Raw genomic sequence first — 12,869 nt, 5'->3', positions numbered from 1 at the left:
GAGAGAATGGCCTAAGGTTCGATTCTACAGTGGGGTAACTGTGTAGCCTTGGGTGAGTCACAGAGTTAGTTTCCACCCAGCTTCATCAATTGCTAGGGAAGTTGGATTAGATACAGTAGTTCCCCAAAAGTGGCATTGATGGGGTCCTTTAGTTCTTTGAAGCATTTTTTAAAAGCTATCTGAAAATGGGGCAGACGCTTACACCACGGCTGTGGGATGCGTCCTGGCCTCTGAGTCTGATTGGCATGTTTTCTTAGATGGGTTATGCTGGGGGCTGGAATAGGCAGAAACTTTGAATTGCCAGCTCCTGGGTCTCTGAATAGTAACACTGGAGAAATGAATTAACTTCTATTTTGCTGACAGTTCCTCCACTCGGGGTCCATCCCGGACTCCAAGGCAGAAACCCTGGGCTGCTCCCTGAAGACTCCAGTGGGATTTCCTAAGCAGACAGCTCCCGCAGTCCACAAGCGGTCCCAGCCAAGCTGGGCTTCAATCTCCCAATCTGATTTCAGCAGCCAGAATTAACCGTATCTGTCAGCTGGGACAGTTGATTTTTCTAAGAGTGGTTTTAGTGGGGAGCTTTGCCTCAGAAAGTGAATAAAGGGTTAGCCTTCTGTAATCTAGATTATTCTCCAGAGCCATTCCCCACCCACACCCCACCCCTCCCCTAGCCTGTTTGGCCATTCAGCAAGCATTTACTGAAAGCCAGCCCCTCTGGGGAGGGCACTAGGGTGACACTGAGACCTCAGACCTTAGCAAGGCTGTGTTGGGGGAGAGATAGGAGGAAGAATGACTGGCCTTCAGCAGCATTCAGGGCCCTGGTGGACAGGGGCAGGTTGCCTGGGAGGGACAGAAGGGGTAAAATTTCCATTGTCTATGAGGGGAGAAGCACTTTGTAAACCGTAACATGCAATGCCAAGTGATGTCATTATTTTTGCTGCACATCAGGGAGGCTAGCAGAGGGCTGAGATGGGAGGAAGCACAGGGGTTTTGCCAGGGAGCACTGATGGGTGGGGGTCTGGGAATCGTACTCTGGATTTGCACTTGATCCCTGTGGCCATTAAAAGCTTTTGGACAGGGGAGTAATGAGACATGATGTGATGTGATCAAAGCAGCGTTTTAGGAAGATTGAGCAGGATTTACCCTCTTTGCTCTCTAGGCCTTGGTCTTCATTCTCTGTGGCTTTTCTGTTGCATGGGTGCAGTGCTGTGGTTCTGTAATAAGATCACCAAGAACGGCTGTGGTTTGTGTTTTGAATCACTGAATTGTCAGCTCATGGATCTGAGTAGTGATGGGTGATCCTGGTCTCTCCTCTCCTCCCACCCCAGGCATCTTGGAGGCCACTCAATGACCTGTGAGAGGATAGACATCAGATGGGACAATGCTGGACTCCCACATTCAGAACCCAGCACCCGGGGCCTCTGGGGGGTGTTTTTATATCCTGATGTGTGGTTTTTAAAAACTTGTTGTAATTAATTTTACAAATTGATATAGTTGTACTTATTTTGGGGGTGCTGATATGTTTTAAGAGATTAGATGATTGAGTTTCCCATTTCACTTATTACCCAGGGTAACTGCCCCATGTCCCAGATTTCCTTCCTGGCATCCCTCAGTGATGAATCCTGGGCCCCTTGACCCATGAAATTGGCCACGTTCTTTCCGGAACAGTGACTGAGTTTGAATGTGGGGTGGGCACTCAGGCTCAAAGTGTATGTACCGAGAGAATTTTGAAACTAGAGGGACCTTATTTCTGCACTCAGGCTCTATTGTCCAGTGTATGGACTAGAGGACTAGGAGAAGCCCAGAGAGTGGTAGTGACTTCCCGAAGGTCACACAGCAAGTTAGCGGCAAGGCGGACCAAAGCCCAGGTCATCAGAGTGCCTGACAAGCATTCTGTGCACTACACCTTGGTGCATCTTGGCCCCTTTTCCTTCTCTTCCCTGGTTACTGTTCACACACCACCTGCTGGGACTCTGCTTCCAGTGCCTACCTCTTCAGTCCTCCAGCACCTACCTCTTCAGTCTTCCAGCATCCACTGAAGGTAGGAGGGGAACAACCATGTAGAAAGAGTCGAGTCTGCGGCTGGGTGTGGTGGCTCATGCCTGTAATCCCAACACTTTGGGAGGTGGAGACAGGTGGATCACATGAGGTCAGGAGTTCAAGACCAGCCTGGCCAACATGGTGAAACCCCGTCTCTACTGAACATACAAAATTAGCCAGGTGTGATGGTGGGCGCCTGTAATCCCAGCACTTTGGGAGGCGGAGGCAGGTGGATCACATGAGGTCAGGAGTTGAAGACCAGCCTGACCAACATGGTGAAACCCTGTCTCTCCTGAAAATACAAAATCAGCCAGACGTGGTGGTGGGCGCCTGTAATTCCAGCTACTTGAGAAGCTGAGGCAAGAGAATCGCTTGAATCTGGGTGGCAGAGGTTGCAGTGAGCCGAGATCACGCCACTGCACGCCAGCTTAGGTGACAAGAACGAAACTGTCTCAAAATAAAAAGAGTTGAGTCTGTAAGATTTTCACTGGGTCGTGTACCCTGCCAGTTCTAAAACCTTCATCTCCCCTTTTCCACACTGCAGCTCCCATCCCCCAGCAAAGCTAGACCCAAAACCCCTCCTTCCCTTCTTCAGACCCCAAAACAGTTCCTGCTCCTCTGTGAACACTTTTAAGAGCTATACACGCTCTTAAACCAGACAGGCCTGGGCTAGAGGCTGGGCAGTCAGGGAAGGCTTCCTGCGGGAGGTAGAACTGACAGGTCCTTGATGTGGAGTCTATACCAGCTGGAAGGTAGGAAGGAGGTTTAAGGGGGAGGAAGCAAAGGAACAATATCAGGGAGGGGCCCAGCTAGGATTCACCAGCTAAACAGGCCCATTTGGCAAGCCCAAAACTCAGGTCCTGCAGCCACCCCAGCCTGCGGAGTACTGCCCTGAGTCTGTGTTTCTGGCTGGAGGAACATCTGCGGTGGAACCAGCTCCTCTGCTTTGGTGAAGCAGAAACCCAAGTCCCTCTCACACCCGCGGGAGGAGACAGAGGAAGCCGGTTCCAGGCGGTGCAGGAGCAAGTCACAGGGTTTATGTTAATGCGGGCCCTCCCCGCGCCGGCGGCTTAGCCTATGAGCCGGGGCCCTGGCAGACAGCTTAATTACCGCTGCAGCGCGCCTCAGCTTGTGTTCCTTGGCTCCCTAAAATAATAAGGATGGCGTCACCGACTTCCCCGGGCCATGTGCTCCCCGCCTGCCTTCAGAGCTCTATTGTAGGAAACAAACAACAAAAAAAATCAGAGACGTGGATGCTTTTTTCTTGGGGAGATTTTTTGTTTGTTTTAAAGTAATAGGGGACTCTGCCCCTAGTTAAGGTTTTAAAAGATCTTCTAGAGGTGTGGAGATCTGGGTCTACTACTGTTGAGGCTGCAGAATAGCCTCCTGTTAGCAGAAACTTGAAAGCTACACGAGTGATCTGTTAATTCCATGGTCTTCCACTGGGGATGTGAGTTCTGATGCCTGGTGGTGGTGTGTGCTGCAGGGAAACGAATCGCCCAGCTCACAGTGACTCTGGCCCCAACTTTGGACCTTGCTTCTTCCTCTGAAAAAAGAGAACTGACCTACACCAGAGTTTTGCAGACTGTAGGTCACGTTACACATATTTTGTTCTAAGTAACATAAGAAAGTAATTGCAAGTGTTAAGTTTTGTTTTCAGTTGTGTATGCCTATACACACACAAAAACGTGTGTACTGAGCCACGGTGTAAAATGTAGAAAGCCACTGGCCTAGGAGATCCCTAAGGCCCTTCTAGCTTTCAAAATGTCTAACTTTTCTGTCAGAGCTTTCACTTTTCCCCAACATGGAACCTGACTGATTTCTGCAGGTTTTGCCACACTGGCTGTTCAGCAAAACCATCGATTTTATGGTTAAAACAACAAAATCACAAGCATCTATCACCCCAGTCTAAAACCTTGGTGTCTCAGACAGTTTGGCCTTCTAGCTGAAATGGGATCTGCAACAGGGGATGGCCCATTTAAAAGCTGACCTATTTAAAACCCACGAGCACCAAAAAACACAGGGTCAATTTGATATGAGTCTTCTCTTGTGTGCAAAGACTGGAACCTGAAAACCAAATTAGTCAGGGACTGACAAGGTTGAAACCAAAGCTACAAATATGTATTGAATTCTTGCTCCGTGAAGGAAAAGAAAATCAAGGGTGGTCAGGGTTAGTGTGAAAAACAAAACAAGGTGTGGATGTAAAAATCCAAAGGGGTCGGTTTTAAGCACACCATTCCTGGTTCCCCAACAGGTTAAGAGGCCTCGTATTTACTATAAGGAAGCCGTACAGACAGCTTAGTTGACTCAAATCTGCTAACCTGCCCTTCGTTTCCATTCTTGTGCCTTGACTGTACGCAACAGTAAAGATAGCCATGGAAAAAGGGGAAGGCAAGTGGCTTTTTCCAAGCTGGGGATGCTCCAAGTACATTCTTATTTAATCCAACCCTAGGTGATGGACATTATAGTCACTAAAGGAAACGGAAGCTCAGAAAGGTAAGCTGGGCTAAAAAGAAGAAAAATTGAACTTGAGCCAGTTCTCTCGGACTCGAGAGCCTGCCTTCTGTCCACCTTTCCTTGTTGCCTCAGGAAGTACTAGAAAAAGAAGGAGCAGTTCTTACTCTAAGCTTCCTTCTCTCTGGTCCTGTCCTTCAAAGGGCTCTGTTTCAGGCCCAAACTGTCCACTTTAATCAGGGCCAGCTTCACAGGCATGTGACCCGTGCAGCACGCACTTGGTTTAATGCGCTGCTGTCACTGTCTTGGAATTCTTAATTTTTAAGCAAGGGGCTCCGTGTTTTTCATTTTATGCTGGGCCCTCTAAGCCAGTCCTGGCTTTTGATATAGTGTATCTCCTCCGTTGGTCCTTCTGGGTCCCCCTCATCTGCCTTTAGCATGCCTGTTCTATCTGGTAGAGGCATTTGAAGAATGCACCCTGGCCCGGCCCCAGTCCTGCTACCTGGCACACTGGACTGGAGTTGTTTACTGGTGGCTGTCTCCTCCCAGCCGGCCACCACACCTCTTGCTGGCAAGGACCCCGACCTTGGCTTACTGTTTCTTCCGTGTCTCCTCAGCCAACAGTGTCGCAGGTGTGCCCCATGTGGAGAGGGCTGGAGACCTGCATGCAGAGCACTGGGTCATTCAGGTCAGGGGGAGTGTGCACAGCTGACCTGCCTCTCAGGGGCTTATGCTTGTCTTGGGCACAAGAAAGACTCCAAAAAACCACTGGTGTTTATAAAAGATAGGGTTCATTCAACATTTATTCGTCATACTGTTGAATACGTTTCATGACAGTTTGACTCACCTCTATATTCCCAGCACCTAATGTTATACCTGGCGCAATAAACAGGACATTTGTTAAGCAGTTGCTCTGGTCTCCGCTCCCTGGTAGGCTGATTACGGAGGACAGTCCCTGACCTCTAGGAGGATCGGATGCTTAATACACGAGTAAATGATTCATGCAGCAGCTGCCCTTGGTGCCCCAGGATGCACAGAGCTGGGTTGGAGAAGGCTTCCTGGGAAGGGGAACTGGATTTGTAGGGTAAGAGTGAGAGATTGGGGGTGCTGAGGTTGGATAAAGAGGAGGGAGCTCCAAGAATGGAGAACCTTGGAGGTCATGTGTAGGAACTTGAATTTTTCCCAAGGCAGTGAGAAGCCAGGAATGTTTTCCAGGCTGGAGTTTACTCTTTATAGGTTAAACAGATCTCATCATCCCCTTTCTACAGAGGCAGAAGCCTGAGGCCTGGGGGAGAGAGCTGAGATCATGGAGCCAGTTGGGTCGAGCCCTCTAGGTCGAGGCCTGTTCCCAGTAATCCAGGCTGCCTCTTGACCACTTCCATCCTCACAGTCATAGAGACCTGGTGTGGAGGCAAAAGCAGGCTTGAAGTGACTCGAGGTGACAGTGACCAGTGCTGCAACGTTGGGAACAGAGGGGAAAGGCCAAATTTGAGAGATCTGTAAAGACAAGATTTCAGTTTTAAACAACAAATTGTTCCTTAGAGTAATAACGTATTTGTGTTTATCATGGAATTTTCAGGTCCCATTGGTGAAAAATGACTGACAGGTCTTTGCTTTGGGGACAAGTTTTTCAGGAAGTACAGGACCCCCAGCAATCTGACATCTTGGGAACCTTCATTGCCTCCTCACTGACCTCTCTTATGAATATGAGGGCTCCTTTTAGGTGTTCACTTGAGGAATGAAGCATTGGGTCCTGTGTAGGTTTCTCTTTGGGGTGTTGGAAAAGCTTCTGATACAAGCAGAGTAATTTCAGTTCCACTAGGTAGGGTAACCACATTTGGATATTTTTAAATGGTCAGTGGAATTGGGAAAAAGTCTACAAAAGTACAAATTTTCAGTTTAATTTTAACTTTGCGCTTCACTCACACCCAGGACTTGGCAGGGGAAGTGGGCCTTGGTTTTTTTTTTTTCTTTTTAAAGCAGAACACACCCTGGGTGGAAAAGGGATGTTCTCTTTGCATGGAAGGGTTAGAACCAAGTACAGAGGAAATGGGTTGGTATTGTAGCAAGAGTTCAGGGGTGGGTCTAGGCTTTGAAACTAGAGCACTAGGAAAGTGTGGCCCTCATGGAGGCAGGCAGGGAAGGGAATGGGATGTCTTTCACAGGCAGCTGTTGGGCTGACATTTTTGTTTTGTCCTGTTTGGTGCATTTCAGATACTTCACAGCTCACCTGCTGCTCTCACTGGGACCCCTCTTCATCTCATGACAAAGCAGTGGGTCTTTCCCCCATGTGGTTTGGGCTTTTTGGTGGTATCAGCAACCTCAGGTCTAAGCCCTGTCCCCTCCTTCCCCTCTGTGATCTCACCCTGCATGGTGCTGAAACCAACCAGGGAGGAAATGCAGAAACAGTGGGGATTCTGAAGACACCACCTTTAAAACGATGGGGATTTCCCAAGGGAGTGGAAGCAACCTCTTGCTATTTGGGGAAGAGCAGGGTCCCAGGCCCCTCTCTGTATCCTTGCCCCCTCCTGCAGCGTCATCTGAGCCAGGGCAGGGTTAGGCTCTGTGCTTTGGTTGCTAAGGATGTGTAACCAGAGCAGAGACCTCTAGGGGTGGTGCCCACCTGGCTGGTGGAACAGTTAGAAGAGGAGCTGAAAAGAAACAGTTACAGCTGTAGGGGCGGGAAGGTGTGATCCCTTTCCTTACCCGTCGTAAGAGTCATGGCCAACACTTATAACAAAAGAAAGGCTAACAAAAGAAGAGCGTAACAAATTTATTTAATCAAAGTTGTAAGTGACATGAGAACCTTCAGAGAAGAAGAACCAAAGACCCAGGGAAACTGCCTATTTTTATACTTAGGTTTGATGAAGAATAGACAGCCATGAAGAAATGGGACTGGACAAAGGGGTGTAGGCTGAGAGGGAACCCAGCAAGGCCTGTCTGTTCAGATTCTTTGTGGCCTCTCTGTGTAGCATTCCTTCCTCCTAGATATGGGGCAGGACTTCCCTGGCATGAGGGTCTTCAAGGGAGAAGGGACAGGAGAGAGTAACCTTTCTCGGCTTTGCTTTGGGAGAGAGGAATTCTAGTTTCTGTGACCCGCCTTGGGGAAGAGAAGTTCTGGATTCTGTGACTTCTGGGGAGAGAGGGTGAGAGACAGGAGGGCAAGAGAAATTCACAGAGCTTGCTTCTGAGGCCTTCCAATCTCCTTTAGTTCAAAGTACCCAGCACGCCAAAGCCCCTTACATTTGGGTATTGTGTTCTGAGCCCCAGCACAGCCAAGAACTTGTAGAATTGACTTGGGGGTCTGGGGAGAGTCCCAAGAAGCCAACAGGGGCCCCTCCTCATCTTGTGGCTAACACTAGCCACCTGAGTGCAGTAGACACCCACCCTCCTGTGACCTTCTTTTGGGATTTTAGGATAAGCAGTTCGGACGTGCCTTTAAAACGGAGAGAACACACCCCAAGGAGTGGTTATGGGGATTAAACGAGACTGTGTATGAAGCACCTAGAGTGTGCCTAGCGAGTGCTTGAGAAAGATATGACGATTATTTTTAATCAAAGCATTAATAGTGATTGCTTGAGTATTGTCCTCCAGAGGAGCAGCCACCAGTTTTGGTGTTGTGGTAGGAGCCAGGGACTGGCCTCGTCAGGGCTCCGAAACCTATGTCTATCTGTAGCATTCCTAGGCAGCCTACCCCAGCAGCAGCCCCTTGGGCTGTGGGCAGGGGTGGCAGGCAGCACTGTTCCTCTCCAGGAAGGAGACCGACTTCCTGGACGAATTCCCTGGGCTCCCCAGCACTGCTCTCTGAGGCCCTCCTCTCCTCGGCCAACGGCAGTAAGGAGAAGCCATTGACCCGTCTAGAAAAACCGCATGTCTGCAGTCTTTGAGGGTAGACTGGAATCTCTTCTCATATTTGCCTTGCTTTGGTGGAGCTTCAAGAATTCCCAGGCCTTCCAAGGAAACCAATTACTAAAGAAGACTGTGGGCCACGTGACTCCAGTGTTTACTGCAAACGAAGGAGATGGCTCCCCTCCCCCAACACAGTTACTCTCCCTCCATCTGCACTGGCCCCCTAAGGCCTGGCTTCCTGGCTCTGCGATGCTTTCCTGCCCTAGGGCAGAAGGCCTCACAGGATTTATTCCCAGGCACTCTTGCCATGACCTTGAGAAGGTGGCTTGACCTGGACATCTGGATCTCAGGGACTGAGGGGGTGGGAAAGGACTGAGCCTCCCCCTCCCAGACCCAACAGGAAGGTGGGCTTTGGTGACCATTTCCTAGGCTGAGAGCTCCTTAGCTCCAGGAGAGGGCTGCGCTCCCTGGTTCTCCTGCTCTGTGGGCTGTGCTAGATGAAACCCACAAATTGCTGCTGTCCCGGGCGGAGTGGCATGCCTCCACCCACCAGTGAAGAATGAAGGCAGGGCAGTTGCAGGGCCCTGCAGGACTCTGAGATCCAGATGTGTACCCCAGTGCTCCCCTGCTCTGCCCACTGGCAAGAGGGGGCTGAGGAGGGGCATAGCAGGCCTCATGTGGACTCTGTTTCCACCTCCTTTCCCCCATATCTCTACTTGGCCCAGAGATGCCTGAGTAAGAGGGGCACCTAGTCATTCTGGGCCCAGAAAGAAGAAGCTAGGCATGTTGGCCTGCTCAAAGGAGCAGGAGCAGCCCTGGACAGGGACAGGTTAGAAAGCCTGGCTGCTTATCCAAGAGAAGAAAAGGCCCTGAGGGGCAGGAGCAACCCTTTGAACAATGCTGGACTGCTGTTGAGAAGGAAGGCTTGTGCCATGTGACCCATTGGTGAGAAATCAGGGCCTGTGCATGGAAGTTCCAGGGAGGGAGGCAACAAATCCAGTTGACATTGGTAAGTGTTTCCTGGCACCTGCAGGGAGCTTGGGCTGCTGTGTCCTGGGCTGAAGGGACTCTTTGAGATACCAGGTGTGGGCAGGGATCACATTTAAGGTGTCTTCCAGTCCAGAGAGGCCGGGTTTCCCAGAAGCTGGCTGCTCTGGGGCAGGAAGGAGAACTCTGGGCCAGCTGCCTGGAGGGCCACACACCGGGTCTCCTTTGCTTACTCCCAGGGTCATTTCATGCCTGCGACCTGGTTACTTTTCCTCGGCCTGTCTTTCTACCTTCTTCATTAGAACCTGCAGTTTCACCTTCAGCTAAGTCTACCTCTTAACAACCCTGTGAGAGGGTGGCTTTTTATTCGTTCTTTCTACCTCATTAGAAATAAAGGATTTAGGACCCAAATTGTGGGTAAGGGAGCTGAGTGGGGAAAAAGACAGGGCCACAGAGGTGCCTCCAAGCACAGACTTTGAGACAGATCTCAGCATTTCATTATGGGCCCATCCTAAGTTTGTGGGTTTCCATTCTCCTTCCACGTCTATGCTGGACCGTGAAGAGCAAAGTCTAGAGCTGTGCTATCCAATATAGTAGTTACCTGTGTCTGTTTACACTTAAATTAATTGAAATTAAATAGAATTAAAAGCTCTATTCCTTAGTCTCACTGGCCGCACTCCGTGGCCACATGTGACTAGTGGCCCCTGTCTTGAACAGTACAGACCGTTTCCGTCCTTGAAGGAAGTTCTGTTGGACAGTGCTGGGCTAGAGGTGGGAGAGCTGGAGGAGCCCCTGGTCTGCTGCGCCTGCCTCAGGACAGGCCACATGGGTACTGCCATGTGAATGCCAGCTACAGCGGCAGGCTCTGCTGTGATGGCAGGAGTGGGTGAAAGCAACTGGGCATGTGGGGGTCTTGTGGGGGCATTGGGGTGGCGGGGCAAGGCCCAGAAGTCCCTAACAATGCTGTGGCTGGTGCATGTGGGTTTTGGGAGAATGCGAGAGCAGGGTTGGAATGAGACCACCAACCTTGCAGAGGCAGCAGGGCTTACTGGGTTTGTCTTCTGCGGTACAGCCAAGGCCCCTGTCTGGAGTGGCCCCCTGGTTCTGCAGCTCGGCTCACCACAGGCCTCCTCTCACCCAGATGTTGAAAAGGCAGAAAAGTCAGGGTGGGCAAATCCATCCTGTGGTCGTTGGCAGCACAGTGATCCGGAAAGCTAGAAGAAGTGACGGAGTGACTGACTGCTTCCTGCGTCTGTCTCCCTGTTCTCTGAGGAGTCCTCTAACACCCTCCCCCTGCTTCAGCCCCATTCCTCAGCCCCGCTCACACGGTCGGGCCTTCTTTCAGGTGAAAGAACTTGTCCTGGACAACAGTCGGTCGAATGAAGGCAAACTCGAAGGCCTCACAGATGAATTTGAAGAACTGGAATTCTTAAGTACAATCAACGTAGGCCTCACCTCAATCGCAAACTTACCAAAGTTAAACAAACTTAAGAAGGTAAATAGAGTGGAGTCTGTGTGTGCTGGGAGGCGGGGGTGGGGAGTGGGAAGGGTTATTACCTATGTTTAGAAAGAGTAATTGAAGGGAAAGCCGGGTGCTTGCACCAACATGCCAGACAATTGCCTGAGACTGCTTTCCCTTCTTGCCCGTCTGGGGAAAGCCGGGCAGCTCTGAGCCGGTAGCCTTCATTTTAAAAGCTGTTTCTGCTTTTTCTTTCCCTGCCTTATTTAGCTTGAACTAAGCGATAACAGAGTCTCAGGGGGCCTGGAAGTATTGGCAGAAAAGTGTCCGAACCTCACGCATCTAAATTTAAGTGGCAACAAAATTAAAGACCTCAGCACAATAGAGCCACTGGTAAGTCATTCGGACCCTCCCCTCCCTGCAGGGGTAGGAGGTGGGAGGAATTGGCATCAGCAAATACTACTTTTGCATTTGTCCTTTTCCCACTTAATTTTTTTGACTCTCATGATGTGCTATGAGATAGAATTGAGCTATTGTTTCTGCTGAGTCCATAGAGAAACTGAGGCCCAGAGAAGTTAAATACCTTGACCAAGGTCACAGACAGAATGGGCAGCTATTGTACGGGTAGCGTAGAACCCTAGTTTCAATTTCTGGTCTCCTGCTTTTCCACTCAGTTTCTGCTCAGCTTTGGAAACCTGAGCTGTAATGTCTTCAGGTTCAGGGCATGGCTTGTTGCCCCTTTTTGGGAAGGGAGGAGCAATCCAAGAATTAAACTGGCCCTGGAGGTGGACTCCAGTTTTCTCCTTGGGTCGCTGGCCCCTGAACTGTGAGAAATGAGTCAGTCCTGACATAGAACCCTGGAATGACTGAGAGCCGTGTGGTGTGAGAGCCTCGTGCAGGCAGGCCTTCCTCAACGTGGTGTGGAGAAGAGTGACCCCTGGTCACCAGTCCTTGTTGCGATAGTGAACAGGCTCTCAGGGGCCTGGGTAGCATTTCTGGCTCCTCTGCTCATCCTTGTAGAGATAGACATCCCCTAAGCTTCACTGATTTACCAGCCAGAAAGGGGCAGGTCATGTTCAGAACAACACTTTCTATAATTACCAGGATCTGATTCGCTGTATTCCTTTGATTTTAAGGAAATCAGCTGTAAGATGTGTCACTGAAAACAACTCTTTTGGAATAGGAAATACTACCACATGAAGTAAATACACCTGTTGTGAATATACATATAAGAGTCACCTCATAAGGCCGGGCGTGGTATCTCACACCTTTAATCCCAGCACTTTGAGAGGGCAAGGCAGGTGGATCACCTGAGGTCAAGAGTTTGAGACCAGCCTGGCCAACATGGTGACACCCCATCTGTACTAAAAATACAAAAATTAGCCCGGCGTGGTGGCACACGCCTGTAGTCCCAGCCACTCGGGAGGCCGAGGCAGGAGAATCTCTTGAACCTGGAAGGCAGAGGTTGCAATGAGCTGAGATCGCGTCACTGCACTCCAGCCTGGGTGACAGAGTGAGACTCTGTCTCCAAAAAAAAAAAAAAAAAAAAAAAAGCAGCAGCAGCAGCACCTCAGGCATCTTAGAATCAGGGAAAGGCCAGGAGGACAATTGGCCACGTTTGCCAAATTTCCCTTCTGGGTTTATAGGGGAGGTTGGGTATCCCTCAGATTGGGCTGGAGTTTTCAGGGTTTCTGTCCCAAAAGGCACTCCTTGCTCTCCATGGATGCTCACGGGACTTGCTGGTGGCCAGTGTGGCAGAAGAGGACACTGGCATTTCTTTTCCAAGCTCTTTACCTGTCCATCGATGGCATTGGGGCCAACTAGTAGAATGTGCTTCCCACAGAACTTCTTTTCAGGCCTTTCACTGGTCTCCTAGGAAAAAGCCAAACTATTTTGATCTGTCTGGAAGTCTTGATTTTATAATGTCATTACAAAAGGAAAAAGTCTTTGAAGTTCTGTATATGGGTGAGGTATGGGGATTGAGTATATAAAATCCTTGTAAAACATTGTGATTCAGTCACCATTAGGGGTCAGGCACTCAGGCACGTTCATGTTCACACTCTCCACTGCCCCCTGCCCA

The 12,869-nt window shown here is 50.0% G+C and overlaps 1 protein-coding gene across 1 annotated transcript in view, besides 10 other annotated features; it reads left to right on the top strand.

The window, feature by feature from the left end:
* The window catches only part of ANP32A (acidic nuclear phosphoprotein 32 family member A), a 42,361-nt gene that overhangs the window by 22,301 nt on the left and 7,191 nt on the right, over positions 1-12,869 (top strand). The window contains exons 2-3 of the mRNA NM_006305.4: positions 10,676-10,825; positions 11,060-11,182. Of these exons, the coding sequence (NP_006296.1) occupies positions 10,676-10,825; positions 11,060-11,182 (273 nt within the window). The remainder of the gene's footprint in view (positions 1-10,675; positions 10,826-11,059; positions 11,183-12,869) is intronic.
* Positions 814-893: an enhancer, noted in NCBI's record as "active region_9650". NCBI's record gives its function as "activates an Ori minimal core promoter by ATAC-STARR-seq in GM12878 lymphoblastoid cells {active_cell/tissue: GM12878}" and the evidence as "EXISTENCE:reporter gene assay evidence [ECO:0000049][PMID:35858748]".
* Positions 2,803-3,375: an enhancer, noted in NCBI's record as "H3K27ac-H3K4me1 hESC enhancer chr15:69087559-69088131 (GRCh37/hg19 assembly coordinates)". NCBI's record gives its function as "activates a minimal SCP1, AML or CMV promoter by ChIP-STARR-seq in naive H9 embryonic stem cells {active_cell/tissue: H9 hESC(naive)}" and the evidence as "EXISTENCE:reporter gene assay evidence [ECO:0000049][PMID:30033119]".
* Positions 2,803-3,450: a biological region, named in NCBI's record as "H3K27ac-H3K4me1 hESC enhancer GRCh37_chr15:69087559-69088131".
* Positions 3,201-3,450: an enhancer, noted in NCBI's record as "active region_9649". NCBI's record gives its function as "activates an Ori minimal core promoter by ATAC-STARR-seq in GM12878 lymphoblastoid cells {active_cell/tissue: GM12878}" and the evidence as "EXISTENCE:reporter gene assay evidence [ECO:0000049][PMID:35858748]".
* Positions 3,801-4,010: an enhancer, noted in NCBI's record as "active region_9648". NCBI's record gives its function as "activates an Ori minimal core promoter by ATAC-STARR-seq in GM12878 lymphoblastoid cells {active_cell/tissue: GM12878}" and the evidence as "EXISTENCE:reporter gene assay evidence [ECO:0000049][PMID:35858748]".
* Positions 6,166-6,665: an enhancer, noted in NCBI's record as "H3K27ac hESC enhancer chr15:69084269-69084768 (GRCh37/hg19 assembly coordinates)". NCBI's record gives its function as "activates a minimal SCP1, AML or CMV promoter by ChIP-STARR-seq in naive H9 embryonic stem cells {active_cell/tissue: H9 hESC(naive)}" and the evidence as "EXISTENCE:reporter gene assay evidence [ECO:0000049][PMID:30033119]".
* Positions 6,666-7,167: an enhancer, noted in NCBI's record as "H3K27ac hESC enhancer chr15:69083767-69084268 (GRCh37/hg19 assembly coordinates)". NCBI's record gives its function as "activates a minimal SCP1, AML or CMV promoter by ChIP-STARR-seq in naive H9 embryonic stem cells {active_cell/tissue: H9 hESC(naive)}" and the evidence as "EXISTENCE:reporter gene assay evidence [ECO:0000049][PMID:30033119]".
* Positions 6,844-6,903: an enhancer, noted in NCBI's record as "active region_9647". NCBI's record gives its function as "activates an Ori minimal core promoter by ATAC-STARR-seq in GM12878 lymphoblastoid cells {active_cell/tissue: GM12878}" and the evidence as "EXISTENCE:reporter gene assay evidence [ECO:0000049][PMID:35858748]".
* Positions 6,934-7,143: an enhancer, noted in NCBI's record as "active region_9646". NCBI's record gives its function as "activates an Ori minimal core promoter by ATAC-STARR-seq in GM12878 lymphoblastoid cells {active_cell/tissue: GM12878}" and the evidence as "EXISTENCE:reporter gene assay evidence [ECO:0000049][PMID:35858748]".
* Positions 10,293-10,800: an enhancer, noted in NCBI's record as "H3K4me1 hESC enhancer chr15:69080134-69080641 (GRCh37/hg19 assembly coordinates)". NCBI's record gives its function as "activates a minimal SCP1, AML or CMV promoter by ChIP-STARR-seq in naive H9 embryonic stem cells {active_cell/tissue: H9 hESC(naive)}" and the evidence as "EXISTENCE:reporter gene assay evidence [ECO:0000049][PMID:30033119]".

Source organism: Homo sapiens, chromosome 15 (genome assembly GCF_000001405.40).
Source record: "Homo sapiens chromosome 15, GRCh38.p14 Primary Assembly".
NCBI lineage: Eukaryota > Metazoa > Chordata > Mammalia > Primates > Hominidae > Homo > Homo sapiens.
This window is presented reverse-complemented; position numbering and strand designations above follow the sequence as displayed.